Below are 21,801 nucleotides of genomic sequence, written 5' to 3'. Positions count from 1 at the left end.
ACGTGTACGTTAAAAATAACAACACTGTGTATGCTGAACTTTGTGAGTTAAATAACTCAAATTCTCCAACTGCTCCAGCCATGGAATTATGAGGGATGGAAAACAGCTGAGAGTCCGTTTGGCTCCGCCGCTCTGAGGGTGCCCAGAGCGCTGAAAGGCCCCATCCCAGGGGCAGTGGGGAAGCCGGGCCTGGGGACCCCCTCCCACCCCGGGCTGAGTCCCCGCTACCTGTGCTGCTTGTCCAGGGCATCCAGGCCTCCGCTCCTGCGCGCCAGGCAGCGCTCCACCCCCGCGGCGTCGCCCTTGACAGCTGCCCTGTGGATCTTCTGCAGTTCGGAGTCCCGGATTCGGTATCCGGAACCCATGTAGACATGTTCTATGGAGCCGTGGGCCCTCTGGCCCCTGCAGCTCCCGAAGCCGAATAACTTCATAGTGGTGACTTCTCAGACCCCCAACCTCTGGCTCTTGAGCGGGGGCAGCTCCCTGTCACCTTTTCACCACCCCCCTCCCCCAACCCCGGCCGACCTCCCTGTCACCTTTTCACCCACCCCCTCCCCCGACCCCGGCCGACCCAGCCCCAAATCCCCTATCCAACCCCAAATCCCTGATCCAACCCCAAATCCGCGATCAACCCCCAATCCGCGATCCCAAATCTGTGATCTACTCCACAGTCCGCGATCCAGCCCGGTCCACCACAGCTTTCAGCAGCGACACTCGCAGCCTCCGACCTCTCAGACCAAGTGAGCCTCGCAAAGCCGTTGGGCGCCCGCCTGCACTGCGGTTGCTGCCCGGCTCCCTGAAGCCCTTCCCTGGTGGCGCGCGCCGGCAGGTGGGGCTGCAGCTCTGGGCGGGCGCCGATGGGCTCGCAGGTCCTCTTGGGATCGCCCGGGCGTCCCCAGGATCACAGGAGCGCCGCCAGCCCGGCCTGAGAAGGAGGGCCTGTCTGGCCTTGCAGCCCGCCCCGCTCCTCCTCAGAACGGAGATAGGGTGCTAGCAAGGGCACTCCGCGGCCACCTGGGTGGCTTCGCACATGGCCCGGCTTCACGCTGAGGCTCTGGTCCTGGAGTCTGTGTGGCTAGTGTCAGGTAGCTGGAGAGGCATGGAGGCAGAGTAAGGGGCTGCTCCTTCCCCCAGCAGCCCTCACTGCTGCCAGTGCCCCACGCGCAGTTTGCAGCTGCAGATCTGGCACTGGCATGGGACGGCGGAGCTTCCCTTGGATGGCCTCAGGGTCGCAGAGCACACAGCCCACCTGGCCTCAAGTTCCGCTCTTCTTGGACATCTCTCTGGATCCTGGGCCCGGGCGCTGGGCACTCTGTATCCACATGGATGAAACTGAACGGCTGCTGGCGGGACCCATCGCCTGATTTTGCTGCCTGGGGGTCTGGCCTCAGGATCCACGCTACTGGGGGGCGGGCCTGGTCTGGGGTGTCCAGTCACTTACTGCCAGTGCACCACGTCTAGACTGCAGCTGCGGCTCCGATGCCGGCGTCAGCTGGCGGGCCTGGTACCTGATGTCCTCAGGGTCAAGTGCATCGCCCTCCCACTTGAGGGGTTGCTGTGATTTGGCCTCCTCCAAGAACTCAGGGGCCACCAGGGCTGGCTCTTCGTGGTAACCAGGATGGTATTGAGCAGCAGGTTTTCACCCTGGTGCCACTGCTGTGCGGACTGCCTGACTTGGGCGCCCAGGCACTGGCCTCAGGGTCCGCGTGGCAGGTGTGTGTGCGGGTAGGGTGAGTGGCACGGAGGGTCAGGGGTTGCTCCGTCATCTCTGCCTGTGTGCAACTTGCAGTTTTGCAGTTTTCTGCAGCAGCTGAGGCGCTGGCGTGGGAAGGCGGAGCTCCCCTGGATGGAGTCAGGTTTGCAGGCACAGAGCACAGCCCAGGCCTGAGGGTCCGTTCAGGGGCCATGGTGGTTGAGTTCTCCGTGGAAACTGGGATGGGGTGAACGGCCAGTTCCCGTCCTTTGGCCGCATGGCCAACTACCAGACTTAGCCGCTGCTGCCCAGGCATCTGTCTCTGGGGTTGCCGCTACTTGGGTAGAAGTGGGGGTCAGGGTGGGGCATGGAGCGTCACCGGTTGCCAGGCCAGCACTGTCTTTGCAACATATTCAGATGGCGGCGGGAAGCTCGGGCACCAGCATGGGCTGGCGGGGCTCCCCTGGAAGGCCCTCAGATCGCTCACAGCATTGTCCCAGGGCTTCCTCGGCCTGTGCCAGGTGAGCAAGGTAGGGGGGAGCTTCCAAGGCTTCTATCACAATTCTACCTATTTCTAGCTATTTTCTCTTGAGTTATTTTGCGTCTATCTCAGTTTTATTTGCAAAAATAGTATATGCAAAATACATCGAGTGAATGTACATCAGGCATATAGAAGATCTGGCAGAAACACGTTTTCTCATGCCCATTTCCATTCAGTATTTGACCACAGAGGCTTCCATGGTTTTGATTCTTTCCACAAAAGGATAGTTTTTTCTGTTTTCACCATTTACATAAGTGAAACTATAAATTATATAATTTTTATGTTCATTCACTAAACATGCTTGTGACATCATTTTGCTCCTATTGATTATTCATTAATTTTATTTTGTAATACTCAATTTTATGACTATACCACAGGTTTGAGGCCTTTGCTTGTTTTGTTTATAATCCACTCCACTATTGATAGACACAAAAGCAGTTTCTGATTTGAGGCTATCATGAATAAACCTGCTACGAAAAAATCAGATATACACATTTTTCTGTAATAATATTTTCACTATTCTTGAGTTTACGTACATAAGAGTGGATTTTCTGGGTTATAAAATAAGTATATATTTGGCATTGTATGAAATAGGGAGACATTTTCCTAAGTGGTTGTGCCATCTTAAACTACAATGAAAATGTTTGAGAGAATCAGTTCCACTTTTTAACCAATACTTGATGCTGTCAGTTGTTTTAGTGTTATCCATTGTTATGGGATATAACTGCTGAGTAGCTGTCTGCCTTCCCAATAACACAGAAAATTGAGGGCCCAGAGGACAGTTTTATTTTCATATTTGACATCTTCTATTATTTTTTATAGAAGGGTGATTTGGGTAGTAAAATTGTCTTTCAATTTTCTAGGTTGTCTCTGAATCTTACTGGGGTTCCTTGTCCTAAACCACATTCAGAAATTTTCACGACCAACTTTTTATCTTTGTCATACCAGGCCAATGAGGGACTGCATTCCTGAGACTTTTTAAGTATTTTTTGTGTGTATGATGGTCTAATAATCATAGCCTTAAAACTTTCTGGCTGGGCATGGTGGCTCATGGCTGTAATCCCAGCACTTCGAGAGGCCAAGGCAGGTGGATCACCTGAGGTCAGGAGTTCAAGGCCAGCCTGATCAACGTGGAGAAACCCCAACTCTGCTAAAAATAAAAAATTAGCTGTGCATGGTGGCACATGCCTGTAATCCCAGCTACTTGGGAGACAGGAGCTACTTGGGCTGAGGCAGAAGAATCGCTTGAACCCAGGAAGGTTTGTAGTTAACCGAGATCACACCATTGCACTCCAGCCTGGGCAACAAGAGTGAAATTACTTCTCAAAAAAAAAAAAGAAAGAAAGAAAGAAAAAAAGAATCTCAGACTTCTGGGAGACACTGAATTTGTGAATGTGTACAGCATGTCACAATAACTTTTTTTTTTTTTTAGACCAAGTCTCACTCTGCTGCCCAAGCTGGAGTGCAGTGGTCCATCTCAGCTCACTGCAAATTCTGTCTCCTGGATTCAAGCAATTCTCCTGTCTTGGCCTCCCGAGTAGCTGGGATTACAGGTGCTGCAACCATGCCTGGCTAATTTTTGTATTTTTAGTAGAGACAGAGTTTCACATATTGGCCAGGCTGGTCTCGAACTCTTCACCTCAGGTGATCCACCTGCCTCAGCCAATGGGTGGACTGTTAACTCAAAATACGCACATTGAATACTGAGGAAAATGTATAGCCATCATCACCAGCAGCTGAGATGCCAGTTGAGATACCAGAAATGCCCCAGCATGTAACTCCTCTTTTAATTCACACACACACACACACACACACTCACACACACAATCATGGTAACCAGTTCAGGATGGACACAGAAACAGTCAGTCTTTTTTGGGAACACACTACCCTGTGACACTTAGATCCTAATGCTGACTCCAATTCCCTCCTGGGACCTCCCCTCTCCTTGCAGCATGCTGGGCTTTCCCTTAGAAAACCCCATGTCATTTCCTTCAGTGGAACATGAATCAGCTTCACCCACAGTGTCTGCATGTCTCTGTCCGTAGCAAACGTTTTTATTACCTTAAAATATAGATTTTTACCTTAACTAGCCAAGACTTAGGACCCTTTTTCCAAGCTCTTTTAGATGAAGTAATAAATGCAAACATTAGAGATGTGTATATGTGTATAAATATATGGAGAAAAGATGTTGCCTAGTTGTACAAATTAGCTTTAATAAAACTCCTGATTTAAATTAATTAATTGTGACAAGGGCGATTCTAACTCAACACACCAACGAAATAAAAGCCTTATCCCTCTGCTCCGCCAAAATATCCCATTTAGAGCCTGCGTGTGTGTGTACACACACGTGTGCACTCATCCCCACCTGACCGTATCAAATTATTATTTAAACTAGATATTTTTACTTTGTTGCATAGTAGTAATGGTTTCTGGAATGAAAAAATAAAAAACAGGAGAATAAAACTGTTTAAATGTATCCCCGGGTGAACTCTGTGGCCACTGCACGGACCCCGCCGTTGGCGCCCAGTACCTGCGTCTCAGGAAGAGGTTCTGGCGGGGCCTCCGCCTGAGGCCACGCCCCTGGGACCTGTCCCGTGTCCACGTGAAAGCGGAGCGGAGCATTCACCATCCCCTCCCTGAAACAGCGGTCCCCAATGTGCTCCACAGGCAGGGCCGAGCTGGGCAAGGGGGAGCCCAGCCCCTGCACGGGCCGCCCTGAGCGGCGGGGACGCAGGAAGACCTCGCCGGCTCCACCAGCCCCTACCCCAGATGCGGGGCCTCAGACCAGCGATGACCTGGAGCCCCCGCCCCACGGTTGCCAGGAGGCGGACAGGGGCAGCTCCTGGGGGGCTACCGCCCCGAGGCCATTCCGCCAGAACTTGAGCGACTTGGGAAGGTGCAGTGCCCTGCCCTTGAAGAAGAACCTGTGTCCTGGAGGCAGCAGCCTGGGAGCTCCTCCTCCGAGGACACCGCAGAGAAGAGTGACTCTGGCGGTGCAGCGCTGGCTTTCCCATCCGCGGAGGAGAGCTGTGGGGCTGGGTGAGCTGGACCAGGGAGCACGGCTGGCTGCTCTCGGCCTCCAATGGGGAATGGACAGCTTAGGGGGTTGCCCCCGTGCCAGCCGGCCTGCTGGCCACTCTGGGCTTCATCACAGCCTCACCTGCCTGCGCAGGCACCTAGCACTGCAGGCTGGAGCTTCTGGCCATGCTGGTCAACTTCCCCAATGAGCCTCTGCTGCCTGGGAACAGCAAGGCCAGAGCTACACCACCCTGCACTTGGCAGCCATGTACCTTGGAGATGGTGAAGCTGCTAGTGGGGACATGGGACGCCGATGTGGACATCAGGGACTACATTGGGAAAAGGGCCTCCCAGCATGTGAGTCAGAGCATCACAGAAGAGATTGAGACCCTGATGGGAGTCCTGGACAAGGACGATGGGGAGAGCACCGCCAGCAGCGGGGGTGGGTACTGGAAGACTTAAAAGCTGCCCCCTCCATCTCACCACCTACAAACTCTCACACGTCCTGGAAGATGGGGGGACCCTCTCCACCATCACCACTTGGCTGAAGGTGGTCCAGACGTGAAGCCAAGGATTCCAGGGCGCACAACCTCGGGCAGGACTAATGGACTTAAAAAACAGGCTCAACAAAATCCACTTCACAACCCAGATGGTTCACATCACACCCTCTTTCAGGGACCCAGAGCAGCCACTGGAAGAGAAGGAGTAGGAACGCTCTCTTAAAGTCCACTTATCCTATTCCTTCAAATTAAGACCAAAGTCCAATGTATTTAGGTAAAAAATAATTTCTTTTAGAAAATGCTAAGGTTTGTCTTCGAAATTTAATAACAGAAACAAAAAAAGAACACTAGATGTAAGGAAGTGAGACCAGAAAAGACTAACTAAACTATCCTTACTAGGTTGGAATGGATGGGGTGGAGTTCCTATCAGGCTAGCATTCTGGGGAAAGCGGTATTTTTTTTTTTTTTTTTTTTTTTTGTCGGTGGGGGGAAGGAGTCTCGCTCTGTCGCCCAGGCTGGAATGCAGTGGCGCCATCTCCGCTCACTGCAAGCTCCGCCCCTCGGGTTTATGCCATTCTCGAGCCCCAGCCTCCCAGTAGCTGGGACTACAGGCGTCCGCCACCACACACGGCTAATTTTTTTGTATTTTTAGTAAAGACGGGGTTTCACCGTGTTCTCCAGGATGGTCTCGATTCCTGACCTCGTGATCCGCCCGCCTCTGCCTCCCAAAGTGCTGGGATTACAGACGTGAGCCACTGCACCTGGCCGGATTTCTTTTTAAGAGATTCATCATACCTTGACCTGTGCCCCATTTCCCTCCTCCACCTGTCTGACCTGGCATTCCTATTTCGGGAGACCAGAAGTGGGGGGAAGAGAAGGGATGACTGTTTCTTTGCTTTCACCATTCCTGCATGCCATGCAAAGGAAGGAATATTGCACTTTTAAATATCCGTTTTATTAAGTAAGTGGTTACTCTTTCAAGGACAAAAAAATGCAAATTGTTACAAAACTGGTAGTATTTGTAAGTGCAAGCACTACATGCTGCCTTGTTCTTTTACCAATTGCATTTGCATTTTAAGGTACTACTGGTACAGCCATGGTGGAGAACAGTTTGGAGGTTCCTCTAAACACTGAAAATAGAGGTGCCAAATGATCCAGCAATCCCACTGTTGGATATATACCCCAGAAATAAGAAATGAGTATATCGAAGAAATTATCTGCACTCCCATGTTGGTTGCACCACTGTTGACAATAGCTAAGATTTGGAAGCAACCTAAGTGTCCATCAACAGATTAATGTATTAAAGAAAATGTGGTAGATACACACAGTGGAGTATTATTCAGCCCTAAAAAAGAATGGGATTCAGTCATTTGCAACAACATGGAAGGAACTGGGTATCATTATGTTAAGGGAAATAAGCCAAGCACGGAAAGGCAGACATTGCATGTTCTCACTTATTTGTGGGATCTAAAAATCAAAACAATTGAACTCATGGACACAGTAAGTACTAGGGGGCTGGGGGGGGGAGACAGGGCACGGGTAATGGGTACAAAAATAGGCAGAAGGAATGAATAAGACATACTATTTGATAGCACAACAGGGGGACTCTAGTCAATAATTGTACATTTAAAAATAACTAAAAGAATCTAATTGGATTGTAACACAAAGGAAACATGCTTAAAGGGATGGATACCCACTCTCCATGATGTGATTAGTTCATGCTGCATGGCTGTATCAAAACATCTCATGCACCCCATAACTATATATGCTTATTATATACTCACAAAATTGCTTGAAAATAAAAATAAAGGAACTACTGAAGGTCAGGTCAGAGTGGAAATGTAAAAATACTAATTAGAGAATAATGTGAATACAACAGGAATCCTGTTGGTATTCTATTTATATTGTAAGCAGCAGTTCAATTGTTTTGTAAAAGTAATTTCAATTTTAATCACTGAACTAAAGAAATGGGCAACGCTGACTTCCGTAATATAGGTTCTACCTAACCATCTCTAACACCGCTGTCAAGGAGGACCAGTGTTAAGGTACATTACTAACAACCACACAAATTTTTAAAAGAAAAGAACACTCTTAGCAGCCTATGGTACTTTGAAATGAAATATTGCCTCTCATTCTCACTTGTGTTGCCATTCCAAAAGTTTGAATTTGCTGAGGTTTATATTCTGCGTATTATATAACCATTGGTTCTATTTGGCATAACCCTATTAAATGGTGCTCAGAGCTGAATTATGTACAGAAACTTTCTGGTTTAATTAGCATAAATTGGTATAAATATTAGTGAGCCCATACATCTGTGATATAATTAAACCAACTTAATGATTCTCACATAAGGTGTCAATTTATTTTACTAATGCATTCATAATCTATGCTTTGTAGCAACATTTTTCAAATGTTTAAAATGCTAAATCTTCTCAATTTTCCAATCTTTTCTTGAATCAATTAGATACCTATAATGTAGTTACTGAATAGCTGGGAAACAAATACACCTAGTTAGAAATGGCACTGCTTTATAAAAGGCACTAGAGAAAAGATGAGACTATTCCTATATTTAAATGCTGCTGGCAAGTGAATTCCTTTGTATATAAATGAAAGATACCATTCATTAAAATGAAAGACTTGTTTTAAGTGTGATTCTTACATTTCATTCATTTATGATAGAGTAAATGGCTTTATAATTACTTTAAAATTTAACTCACTAGTACATTAAATCTGTTCATTGCAAGATTAGAATCAACTGTGAGGGGAACTAATTTAAACAAGCCCTTCCTTAGTCTTATTGAGTCTCATATTTGCCGAAAGTACCTACAGCTTGCAGGATAAGGGAGTTCACGGACCATAGGGTGAGTGAACCCATGCACAAATTGCAAACTGCCCAGAGCTACTACATTTAGGATTTTTAGACCTTTAATTTTCCAAGTCATAGAAATTTGTTACAGGTTCATCACATCTTTGTCTAAATGGCAACTGAATTTCTTTAAAGATAGGTTAAAAAAAGGCATAAAACTATGAATTATTATCCATTTGTGTGCCTCTATTTTTGCTTTAGAATTATGGAAATGGACCCTGTGAATTTGGGAAACACTGTTATGTATACACATGGGTGAAAAACAATCTAACATTGTGTAAATTAAAATACTTTTTTTGAGGTTGAAAAGCATCCATTTGTTCTAAATCTATATATATTATGTGTATCTAGTACAGAATAAGGTGTAACTTCTCATTGAGTAATCTTAGGTTTTACAGATATGTAAAGCTGAAGCAACTCTAAAGAGTAGACACTTCAGAACAGGAAGGTTCTGGTCAATGTTGAGAGTAGACACTTTCACTGAAGGTTCTGGTGAAATGTGGGTAACTAATTGCTTGAAATCTATATTTTGCTATATAGTTAACTATTAAGTTAAAATGTCATTTACCATGCTTTTTACACTAAAAGCTTTAACTTTTCTGAGAAAATAATATTTTAAATGTTCAATTATTACTTCTGAGGAAAGCTACTTCTAGCATTCTTTGTCATGATGTGCTTGTGTGCAGTAAGCAGAGCATTTTCAGCCACTTACCTCTACAATGTTCCTGTTTTTCAATTTCTGATTTAGATTATAAAAGGCAAATGATTAATTTAATTTGATACTCAGAGTTGTGTTTACTTTTAATGGACAAATATATGTCAGATACTTTGATGTTTATTGATATGACACCGTGTGGTTAAACAATGAAAGTATGTCCATGTGTTTCTTATAGGGTACACTTGAAACTAGTGGTGTTTATGCAGTTCACTTATGTAACTTGAAAATCTGGTACTATTGCATTCAGGACTGAAATCTTGGAGTTTAGGTGTCTTGTCTCTCATTTTGAAAATAAGTGAAAGTTGAGAATGTAAAATCTATAAAGTTCATTTTTTTAACTAGGAAAAAAACACAAATTAATGACAGACACCAAATTACAAATCCAAAAAGCTCAGAGAACACCAAGCAGGATGAATATTTTAAAAATATACCTAGGAATATCATATTCAAACTGTAGAAAACCTGTAACAAAGATAAAATATTAAAATAAGGCAGAGGAAGAAACACATTGTCTACAGAGAAACAGACATAAGAATTACATTGGACTTCTGTTTAGAATCCATGCAAGTAAGAAGTGTTGAAAAAATTAGAATACAGTGGGTATTTTTTATCCAAGTATTCATTATTTAAAACTGCAAAGTGAAAATAATTGTAACAAGAACATATTCACTAGCAATCTGAGCACTCATGATATTAGTGTCTGTTCTGGAGAGAATTATGTCCCCCCAGAATTCCTAACCTGAAGCCCTATCTCCCAGTGTGACTGTATTTGGAGAAGGAGCTTTTAAGAAGGTAAAGGTTAAATAGGGGCAAAAGGGTAAGGCCCTAATCTGTTAGGACTGGGGTCATCATCCAAAAAGGAAGAGACACCAGAGATACATATCTCTCTCTCTCTCTCTGCCTCCCTCCTTCTCTCTCTCTCCCTCTCTCTCTCCCTCTCCCCATATACATTTGTTAAATTGAGGTTTTTTGTTAGAACATACAGAGTGGCATTTTAATATATTATTACTCTAGTTAAAACATACACACACACACACACACACATACAATTTTGATAAATTCTTTTTTGAGGATAAGGCCGGGCATGGTGGCTCACACCTGTAATCCCAGCACTTGGCGGGATTATCATCTGAGGTGGGTGGATCATCTGAGGTCAGGGGTTCAAGACCAGCCTGGCCAACATGGTGAAACCCGTCTCTATTAAAAATACAAAAAATTAGCTGGGCATGGTGGCGGGCACCTGTAATTCCATTTACTCAGAATGCTGAAGCAGGAGAGTCCCTTGAACCCAGGAGGCGGAGGTTGTGGTGAGCCGAGATTGCACCATTGCACTCCAGCCTGGACAGCAAGAGCAAAACTCTGTCTCAAGAAAAATACGGTAAAATAAAAATAAAAAAACACAAAACTGGGATGTGTCCCTGTCTTTTAGGCAGATATACTTTACCATTACTAAAATTGAGCTTCAGAAACATTAAGCATGCTACACAAACTTAGCTGGAAATGAATACTGAAATGGAAGTTTGAATCCAAGATGATTTCTTTTGACTCCCATGCTAATGCCGTTAACTCCTATAGACCCTTCTCAGGTGCAGCCAGAGAGACACTAGCCCACTGATGGACGGACAGACGTGGGCAGGGTACGTGTCACTAAACCTCCCACCACTGCCACAGCTGCCTACAACAGACACATCAGATGACACTCCGGGCAAATAAATGATTTTCACTGAGGACTTACTGGTTTTAATAATAGGTCCTGGTGTAGAGAAGTCCCTCAACCTATTGTGCAATGAGTTTTGAGAAGCGGGTAAGCTGTATGTTTTGTGGTTTTTGTTTCATAAATGCATCTACAGGAAGACCAATATTGACTGAATGAAGCTTTCATTTAAAGAGCTAAAATATGCTTTGTGTTTTTATATGTGGATACTACTTTAAACCTAATGACTATTCATTGTATCATAGCTTGTGATGTATTCTGCTCATGGCTTTTAAGGTAAATTGTGCCATGATCCACTGCCATTCTAATTGCTTTAACAAGTCATTGCCACACTACTGTTACATATTAATTATGCATACAGACAGGTAGACTTATTTTACATATGTGAACTAACTAGTTGTCAAAGCAAATGCAGATTGTATTCTGCAAGTAAAGTCTTTTTCTCTCTGAAATTTCTAGGGATGTTCTTTAAGTGAAATTCATATTCAGACTGAAGATTTTAGTTACAAGAACTGAGTGCAGATTAAAGTCTTTTTGTGATTCAAACATATTCAAGAGTACAACTGTGATATTTCATGGAAGTTACGCAATAAAATGTCTCTAACCTGCGAACAAATCTATCAAGCAGACGGCACAGTACTGAATTTGAAACCAGAAATACTGGGTTTTTATATAAATGCTTCATAGATTTGTTTTATGATAAAGGGCACATAACTCTCCTAAACCTCACACCATCTCTTGAATAGGTATAATAAGCCCACATCAATGCTGATGCCTTAGCTATTATTAAACTCTTACAGTATGATGTAAAGTGAAAGTACAATGTAAGATCATTCCTAGGCCAACTTTGACCAGTTTTATACAGAAACATGTGCCAACTTTTCTGTTTGCAAAGATAATATCAAAGCAAACACCAGAAAGTTATATCTTTGGTGCATTTTTTCAAAATCATACACATAATACACAAACCAAAGACAAATGATGAATATTATGTCAGAAAATATAAAGTCTTCCCCTTTCTTCTTTTGCCAAGAAAGTCCAATATTTTCACCATTTTTATGCACACAATCAACTTTATTTAAGCTGGAAGTTAATGTCTCATTGTTTTCATTGTTCTAAATAAACACCTTTTCCCTTGAGTATTGTTCTAAAAATTTTGAAGTTGTGTGAAAAATTTTGTTCTGATATTTCACATTTGTGCTAATGATATGTGAAAAGGAATACAGATGGTATTTAATTATGAACAGGAAAAGATGTTAAATATCATTAGTCATTAGAAATTTGCAAATTAAGACCACATTGACTAACACATATATATCAGAATAGCTAAAATAAAAATAAAACATCAAACGCTGGGGAGTATGAGTAAAAACTGGAGCTTTCACACATGACTGGTGGGAATGTAAAATCATAGTTATGCCAAAAAGGAGCATAGTAGTTTCTTAAGAAACTAAAGGAACCTGAGTCTCCAGGCGTGCAGTCTGGGCCAAGGTCACTGTCCCTGGATCAATCAGGATGGGGTTCAGGGGCCTTCCTGGGGCCATCCAGTGTCCAAGGTGCCCTTTGGTGGCCTCATCTGCCCCTCAGCCCCTGAGCACGTCCCTCTGTCCCTCCAATCCTCCCTGTCACGGGACATCTGTCACAGAGCCATGCCCTACCTCCTGCTTTCTGGAGATGCCAACTGCCTGGGGTGCTCTTAGCCCTGCCCTCCCTATCTCTGGGTCCTGACCAAGGTGCTCTAATGGATACCCCCTGACCCAGGTCTCAGAGAGCTGCCAGCACCCTGGGTCCCTGAAGCTGAGATCCAGCAAGACACATGTGGCCTGAGAGTCCCACTCTCTGGCTGGCAGAACCCAGAGGTGGGAGCACACTGGAGTGTCCTTCAGGGTGTCTTCACCCCATGAGAGGGCTGGGGGCTTTGGGATTTTGCAGCTGGCAGGAGTCAGGGCCCAGTCCCCTAACTCTGATGCGTCCTTGGTCAAATCCTGTGCCTCAGCCTGCAGGGCCTATTGTGGTCACCAGGTGAATGTGTTCCCTTAGTCTGGGAGCCCCAAGTAGGCAGCACCCCCTGCCAATGACTTCAGGGCACCTGGAAGTGGAGGCTGAGAGGTCTCCCACTTCGCAGAGCTGGGCTCTGGCCCAGAGGCCTTCTCCTTGGCTTAGGTCATCTCTCGGGCTCCTGGGGCTGCAGATCAGGGACAGAAACAGGCAGCTCTGCTCTGCTATGCCTACAGAGAGGTGCCCAGTGAATGCAGGTTCCAGACAAAAGGTGGAGCCTGGCATCCTGCCCTGCATGGGCTCCAGCCTGCTGCCATCTGGGGAAACTGAGTCATGGCGAGGCTCAAGGATGTTTCTCAGAGGTCCGCTGACCTCTCAATCTTGATGGAGAGTGAGAAGAGGTTCCCAGGCCACCTGCAATAGGATCTGGCTCGGCCTGGGTTGGGGTAAGTCTCCCGGCTGCTGTCCTCAAAGCCCCTTTAGGAGGCTGTGTCAGGCCAGTGCACAGTGGTGACAGCAGCATGGACTGAGGGTTCTGGCCACGGGGAGGTCAGGACCGGGGGAGGTCAGGTCCAGGAGGTGGGCACTGGCCGGCACGTGGTTGTGCTGGAGAGACCTGGGTGGGGTGGTGGGAATGGCCCAGGAGGAGCCCCGGCTCCTGTGCCTGGAGTGAGGGTGTGGGCTGTGGTGGGAGAGGAGGTGAAGGTGGAAGGAACAGGGGCCCAGGGGCCTGTGCTGTAGGAAGGGCATGGACTTCCTAGCGAGGACTTTCTGGTGCGGGATTCTCAGGGAAGAGGATGCCGGAGGGGCTGGGGTCCCCAGGAGTGCATGCGCCAGGCAGGCGGAGGGGAGGCCGAGCCAGGAGCCGCAGGCTTCTCACAGCCAGGCCAAAGCCGCCCTCCGCTGGCTGCGTGGGGAATCTCCCCTAGGCTGGAGCTCCCCTGGCCCCAGGTTTGGGGGATGCCGATGTGTCCTGGGGCGCTTACTGCCCATCCAGCCTCCGCCAGGCAGCATGGCCCTGGGTGGCTTTCAGGGCAGCCTCCGCAGCACAGGACCTTCCTCCGCCCTGTGGGGCAGATTTGGGCATATGACTCTGGACACTTATCCAGAGGCTGAATTCAACTCCCCAGGAAAAAACACACTCAGACTCCCTCCCTCCCCACTGTGCCCAGCCTGAGGGGACCCTAGCTGGGACTTGGGAGGAGAAGGCCAGAGGCCAGGGCCTGGCTCTCAGGCACTAGGTCCAGGAGAAAATGGAGCAGAGTCCCTGCAGGAACTGCTTCAGACTGCCCCTGAGGGGGCCTGGCCTGGGACCCTCCCTGTGCTACCAGGCTGCTGTTGGGGCCAGGAGGGCAGGGAGAGCAGCCACCTGTACGGCATCAAGTAACACTATCACTCAGCACACCCAACATTCACACAACAGCCACAGCCCTCTGCCCTGAGGGGGCAGGTGGGCAGAGCCTCCTCTGTCTTGTTCACCCTGAGCGTGGAGCTCCGCACAGGACAGGATCAGAGAGCAAACCAGGAACAAATGGATGAATCAACGAAGGGACCAGGGCAGTAGGTCCCCACCCACACCCTGAACCCTAAGGGTGGGACACAGAGGCTGGAGACGGGCTGGCCCTGGGATCCTCTAAGTGACAGGAACCCTTGGCCACTGTTGATTGCCCCGAGGTGGGGACAGGGATGGTGGGGCTGGGGCTGCCTGGCCCTTTAAGAGGGCAATTCTGCCCGCCGCCCTGAATGCCCCCTCCCCTAGCCACTGGAGAAGAGATCCCGTTTCTTGGCAACAGGAAGCTCTTGGTTTACTGTGTCACCCAAGCAACTGGGAGCCACGTCCTGCTCTGCGACAGAGCCGTTGGAGCCGACCGATGACTGCACTGGGCTGACCGCAACAAGCTGACCACACACACTCCTCACTCCCCTGGCCCTGGTGGGTGGCAGACACCATGGTGCAGACGGATATGCTCCTACCAGAGCCGGCCCCGCAGACAGTGCCGCCCTGCGAGCTGCCCTGCAAAGAGTATGACGTGGTCCGCAACACGGGCGCCTACACGTCCTCCGGCCTGGCCACCGCCAGCTGGTGGTGTGGTTCCAGAACTGCTATGCTCGCTACCACCAGGCCTTCGCCGACTGCAACCAGTCGGAGCGGGAGCTGCAGGGGCACAAGAGCCAGCAGCTGGCTGCAGAGATCCAGGCGCTGGCACAGCCGACACAGCAAGACTCCAAGTGCAGGGTGGGCGAGCGACTGCAGGACATGCACAGCTGGAATTCGGAGCTGCAGGGCGAGGTAGAGGCGCTGGCTGCGGAGACTGACCTGCTGCTGGCCCAGAAGCAACGGCTGGAGCACGCCCTGGATGCCATGGAGGTGCCCTTCTCCATCGCCACTGACAACATGCAGTGCAACCAGCGCCACCAGCACGCCAACCTTGTGCGTGACCATGTGGAGACGGAGCTGCTGAAGGTGCCAGCAGCCTTGGGTGGCCAGGACTTGTGGGCACAGAGAGGAGGAGCCCCTGGCAGTTCATGTGGAGAAGCCAGGTGGCTGCTACAAGCACACGGGAGACCAGCCCTCTGTGCGTGAGACCCCTGAGTCCCGAAATCTGTCCCCTTAGTGACAGGAGGCAGTTTTGCCCCAGAAGTCCCCTGACTTCCAAGCAGCTGTTTCTCCTCTCCTCCTCCAATACCTTTGAGTCCTGGCACAGTCATCCTGACCCTGTGCTCCCCAGAGACCTTCCCTGGTTGGGACAGTTGCTCCCGAGGTGGAAACCCAGGTCTGGGCCAGCACTGCGGGTGTGGACAGGTAGGGTGGGATAGGCTGGGAGCCACTGCTCCTATTCATCCTATACAGAGCCGGGAACACGAAGATCTGCACCCACAGGTCCCCTTCTCCATGTCACCTGTAACTTCCCAATCCAACCCAGCTTGTCTATGGGTCAACCCCATAGGGTGAGAGAGTAACTCAGTCCTGGCCCTGATGCTGGCTCTGGAGAATTCCCTGAGCTCTCAGAGCCTGGGGCCTCCATGAGAACCACTACAGGCCTGTAGACATTTGTGAAAGATGTGGGGTGGAGGCAGCTGGTCTCCTGCCATACCCCCAAACTCAGGCAAGAACCCTTGAGTCCCTCCCTCCCCTCATGCCTTCCCTCCTCCCTCCCTTCCCCTTCTGCAGGCCTATCCCCCTGCACCCTCTCAGTGCCTCAAGAACTGCTGCAGTTCCCGCAAACCCTCTGCCAGCAACAAGGGTGTCTGCGAAGTGATGGAGACACTGACAGTGCAGGAAGAGGCAAACCCAGGGACAGAGGGGTGCAGGACTCGGGCCCTGGCACACAAGGAGGTAGCTGGTGGTCCAGGCAAAGACCCCAGTCACAGGGGAAAAAGGCTTGTTCCTACACACAGAAAATTAAACTGGCCAGGCAGTAAGAAGAAACACATGGTCTTCCTCCTGTTCTTGGTGTGAGGATGGTCTTTCCCAACACAGAGCCCTGAGGGGCAGCCTAGGTGGGCATCTGGGCCCCCAGAGTTTGGGTCCTCAGGGGCTGTCCAGAGGCCAGGGGCAGGCCAACGTTCCTGGGTGCACTGAGTGAGCAGCAGTGATGACTCTTGAGGCCTGGGGCGTGGGAACTGCCGCTGAGGGACCTTCCCAGCAGCCCATAGAAGGCCCTGGAGGAAAACACCCCACTTACAACACACCAAGGAGAATGCCCAAAAGCCCAGGATAAACCCAGTGAGAGAGCAGAACTTGCACAGTCAGAGCTCAGGCCCGGCATTCAACTATTTCTGGTTGCTCAGGTGTTGACCAAGGCCTGCAGCAGCTGGGCCTCCTGGGATCCTCACCAAGGGCCGGCTCTGGTGCTCAGGGCGTCTCCTCCCTCAGGAAGCTGAGCTCATCCGGAACATTCAGGAGCTGCTGAAGAGAGTCATCGTGCAAGCAGTGAGCCAGATCCGGTGGGTCGAGGGCTGCCCAAGGGATGACTCCTGACCCCACCCACGGCTGGTCCTGGGGCAAGCCATTGAACGACAGGGCCCTGAAGCTCAGAGCCGGCAGGGGCTGTCCCAGGTCACAGTGGGAGCACAGGGCTGGGTGGGGGAGTTTCCGGCCCAGCCTGAGTTTGAGTGGCCAAAGCCCAGTGCCACAACTGATCTGCAGCCTCCCAGCATGGGCGGCAGCTCTTGGTCACTGCTGAGCACGAGGACAGCCGGCCCAGAGCTCCCTCCTGAAGCGGGCATAAAGGCCTAGCCTGCAGCATGGAGGGTCCCCAGCGGGGCCCTCCCTGGCCACACACCAAGACCCTGCCCCACCCCGCCCCAGACTGAACCGAGAGCACATGGAGATCTGCGAGATGGACTGGTCGGACAAGGTGGAGGCTTACAACCTCGACGAGACTTGCGGGCGCCACCGCAGCCAGAGCACCGAGGTGCAGGCTCATCCGGCACTCCACCACCTTCCAAGAGAGGGGGGCCCCAGCTCTGCCCCCGTGCTTGCCCTGGCTGTGGTCTTGCCTCCCTCTGCCTGGGGTCCCCAGCGGCGCTGCTTCCCCCAGCCTGGCCCAGAGGCCCTCGCCCCCGAAGACACTTGGGCAACTGTCTGCCCCTGGCATGAGAAAGCATGCAAGACCTCCTCAAGTGCCCAGCGCGTGCACAGCCTGGTTGCCCTTAGACAGGACAGGGTGGGGTGCGGTCAGCCCCAGGCGCCGGCAGGATTGCATTTCCACCCAAGGCCAGCAGAGGGAGCACGACCACCGCCCACTTGAGCATGGCAAACTCCTGGGTGCGAGAAGCGGACGCGGGCGCTGGGTACTAGGGAAGGGGGGTTGCGGGGGACGGAGGTGCTGCAGAGGGGGCCTCTGGGGCAGCGGTGCTGGGAGCGGGGTCACGGGGGCAGGAGGGGACTAAGTGCCCGGGGTGGGTAGGGTGTGGGTGGACTCAGGGGAGTTGTGGGCGGGGGGAACTCGGAGGCAGGGAGCTTGGGGGACTGGGCTTCGTGGGTCTGCACGGGATGCATTGGAGTCCATGCAGTTCCTCCAGGAGCATGGGGTGCAGACAGGGAATGGGGGCGCGGCAGGGCCCCCAGCCATTGGCAGAGCCTCCCCGACCTTCTCCTGGCTGTCCCCAGCCCCGCAGCGCCTCCACCCCAGAGACCCGGACCAAGTTCACACAGGACAATCTGTGCCGCGCCCAGCGCGAGCGCCTGGACTCAGCCAACCTGTGGGTGCTGGTGGACTGCATCCTTCGCGACACCTCCGAGGACCTGGGACTCCAGTGTGACGCAGTGAACCTGGCCTTTGGGCGCCGCTGTGAGGAACTGGAGGACGCGCGGCACAAGCTGCAGCACCACCTGCAAAAGGTGGGGCACCCTGAACCCCAAAGATGGCTCCGGCGCCTGCCCACCACTCTGCCCCCTCTCATCACCTGGTCTGGGCCCTCAACACCTTTCTCCTCTGTCCCACTTAACCCGAGGGACCCCAGAAGCAAGTGTCACCTCTCCATAAACCTATGTAAAACCAGGTGACACTGGGTATGATCGCAGTGCGTTGCAACCCCCATGACTGAGCAGGAGGAGCTGTGGGGAGGATGGAGGCAGGAGCTGGTCTGGGGAGCATTGACTGCCTGGGAGGTCCCCAAGAGTCCTGGCGTGACAGGCAGGGCTCTGACTCTAGGGCCTCAGCATGGCCTTTACCACCTCTGAGTCCCCAGTCCTTGAGCAGGATTTGGGTCCTGGTGACCACCAAGGATGGGGGTTCTTGGACCAGAGCTAAGAGACAACAGGCTGCCTGACTCTCCAGAGCCCACTGGGGGCCCCGTGCACATTGTTCCCCTCATCCACGCCTCCCCAGGGCCACTGGTCAGGACCACCCTCTGGACACAGCCCCAGGACCTGGGTAGGACCAGACTGGTCTCTGCATTCCATATGCCCGGGCATGGGGGCACAGGCCCAAGGGGCACTGTCCTGTCGGCAGATGCTGCGGGAAATCACAGATCAGGAACACAACATGGTGGCACTGAAGGAGGCCATCAAGGACAAGGAGGCACCTCTGCACATAGCCCAGACCCGGCTGTACCTGCTCTCACACCGGCCCAACATGGAGCTGTGCCGCGATGCAGCCCAATTCAGGTACTGCCTGGGCCTCTGAGGCAGTCCCAGGTGCCCTCGTCCACCTCCTCGCTGCGACCTTCTCCAATAAACACTCCAATCTCCACACACACATCCCCCACAGGTGCTGAGATGGGAAGGAGACTTTGCGGCCACACGCAACACGCAAGCACGCCTTAAACACACAGATATAGACATGACACTGGGCAGGTCATGGGTCGGGGGCCTCCCAGTGCCAGGGACCTGTGCCCACGTGGTCTCACCCCACCCTCTGCTACCTCATCTTCCCAGGAGGAAGCTCCTTCAGACAAGGTGAGCTCCTGGAGGCCACGGGGCCAGAGAGGCCAGGGAGGGCCATTCCCTGCTGCCCTGAGGGTGCTGTCCCCACCTCTGGTGGAAAGTATGACCTACGCCTGGGCTACAGGCATAGATGGGCCATCCTTTTGTTTCCCTTGTTAATGGATGCCTAGTGGCCCCTTCTGAGCCTAAGTACCTTTCTTCCTTCCCTGCCCCTCAGTTCCTTCAAGGAACTGGGTGCCTCCTTCCGTCAAATATCAGGAACGGAAAGAACTGAGCCTGGTCGGCTGAGGCCAGTCCTGTCCTGCCAGGGTCGAGATTGCACGCGGGTCACTCATTCCCACTCAGGCCCGCGCTCCCTGGGAGGACCCTAGTAATTTATGCTCTGCCCTAGAGCCACTTTCCTGGTGGGATCCTTTCATGGCGTCTTCCCAGGACCTCCTGCCAGCTCCCATTGGGAGTTTTGGGTCCCCTCCACCCCGGTAGGTGCATACTTCTTCCCTCCCCAGCCCCAGCTCACACCCCCCAACACCCCCAAGCTGGTGAGTGAGTTGGAGGAGCTGTACAAGTCCATCACAGCGCTGTGGGAGAAGCTTCTACAAGCGGAGCAGTCCCTGCACAACCTCGAGGACATCCACATGAGCCTGGAGAAGGACGTCACTGCCATGACCAACAGTCTCTTCCTCGACCGCCAGAATTGCATGGCCCATCATACTTGCTACCCCACCATCCTGCAGCTGGCTGGCTACCAGTGAGCAGCGGCACGGTGCTTCCCCCCAATCCCCCAAATAAACAGTGCATTAGCTTTCTGCACAGTATGTGTGTGTGCCTGGTGGGACCTCCAGTTGCTGTCCATCTGAACTGGCCTTTGGGTCCCCTGTGAGGCTGGCTCTGCCTATGGACTCGTCATCCCAGCAGTTGGAGATGAGGGGTCAGAGCTGAGGGTGAGGAATCCCTGTGCCTCAGAGGACAGGACATGCCCAGGTGGGGACTGGGCCTCCACAGCACAGCTCAAGTGTGGGCACAGACCGTGTGTCCAGCTCAGACCCAGGCCATCCATCTCCCCCTCCCCACTTCCCCACCAGTGCTGGCTCCTCCATTCCCTCACCAGTGTCTTAGGGCCTTGGGACATCTTTGGGGCCTCTGCATCTCCCCAACTCCTCCCCCTGCACCTCCAGGCCCCCAGCCTCAGCTCACATACCCCTGTGACAGTGCACTTATTCTGCTAGAAGCTGGTCTGGCTGCTGGGTGCACCTGCTGTGGCGATCCTCCAGGCAGGCCCCATGCAGAAGCACCCACTTCAGCATCCCCTCTCCATCCCCAATGACAGTGTGTACCTGAGCTCAGCCCAGCCCAGCTCTCAGTGCCCAGGACCCCTGAGGCTCAGATGGGCAGATGGGCAGGGGTACATGGAGTTCCCTCCAGGGTGTGGGCCCAGTGTGGGGAGAGGGGCCTGAGAACAGCCCAGGGTGAGCATCCACCTGGAGAGCATGTGGGTGGGGGTCCCATCTGCAAGATCCAGGCCCACAGGGCTCTTGTCTCAGCCTGAAGGGGACCGGGAGGTAACAGCCCCTTCCCCCCAGTCAACCACAAGGACACCCAGCTGGGCAGCTCTGTGAGCTGGGTGGGGTCAGCCAGGTGGAATTTGCTGCTAGGGGTTGCTGGGAGGAGAGGCATGGGCTGCCTTTCACGTGGGGCTAACTCAGACCTCTCTCCCCGACCTGCTAGGACCCCTCCAGAGGCCACTGCTGAAGATGAAAAACACTACTGGTGATAATGTTGACTGCAGGCAGTTGGCTCAGGGAGGAGCCTTCTTGGGAATCCTACTCAGCCTGGATGGGGAGAAATCTGGGAGAGGCTGTGTGTGAGCAGGAAGTGCAGGGAAGGCTTCCTGGAGGAGGGAGCCTGGCTTCCACTGCACAGGCCAAGGCACAGGGGCTGGGACCAGGGAAGGAGGTGTCTGGGCTAGGCCTCTCGCTTTATCTTGAGCTCTGGTTCACTGCGATAGTCTCATTGCTAACCAGGCCCCGCCCTCCCCAGCTCCAAACCCAACTGCCAGGCAGTGAGGATTCTTCTGCTCACCCAGCCACTCTCAGAGATGCAGACCCAGACCCTGGAGGGTGGGCCTGAAAGCTTCCAGGACCTTCTCTCCAGTGCAGATTCAGGGGGAACTGTCACTTCTCATCACCACGGAAGCCACACTACTTGTCACAAGCCACCAGCCACTACAGTGACACCCAGGCCCACTCTTGTTCTTTGGGGTGCCATTTAAATTCACCCTGGATGCTGTTACCATGGGGCTTTGACAGCCAGGAGCAGAGGCAGTGGGACACAGCAGCCAAGCCTCACCTGGGGGCTGCAG

The 21,801-nt window shown here is 51.6% G+C and overlaps 4 pseudogenes; 3 read left to right on the top strand and 1 right to left on the bottom strand.

Moving 5' to 3' along the window:
• On the bottom strand, positions 229-725 carry ANKRD20A6P (ankyrin repeat domain 20 family member A6, pseudogene; annotated as a pseudogene).
• On the top strand, positions 1,944-3,318 carry LINC00268-2P (long intergenic non-protein coding RNA 268-2, pseudogene; annotated as a pseudogene).
• On the top strand, positions 4,889-6,057 carry SOWAHCP1 (SOWAHC pseudogene 1; annotated as a pseudogene).
• Positions 14,851-20,248, top strand: TEKT4P1 (tektin 4 pseudogene 1; annotated as a pseudogene).

The sequence above is a fragment of the Homo sapiens genome, chromosome Y (assembly GCF_000001405.40).
Source record: "Homo sapiens chromosome Y, GRCh38.p14 Primary Assembly".
NCBI classification, from domain to species: Eukaryota; Metazoa; Chordata; class Mammalia; order Primates; family Hominidae; genus Homo; species Homo sapiens.
This window is presented reverse-complemented; position numbering and strand designations above follow the sequence as displayed.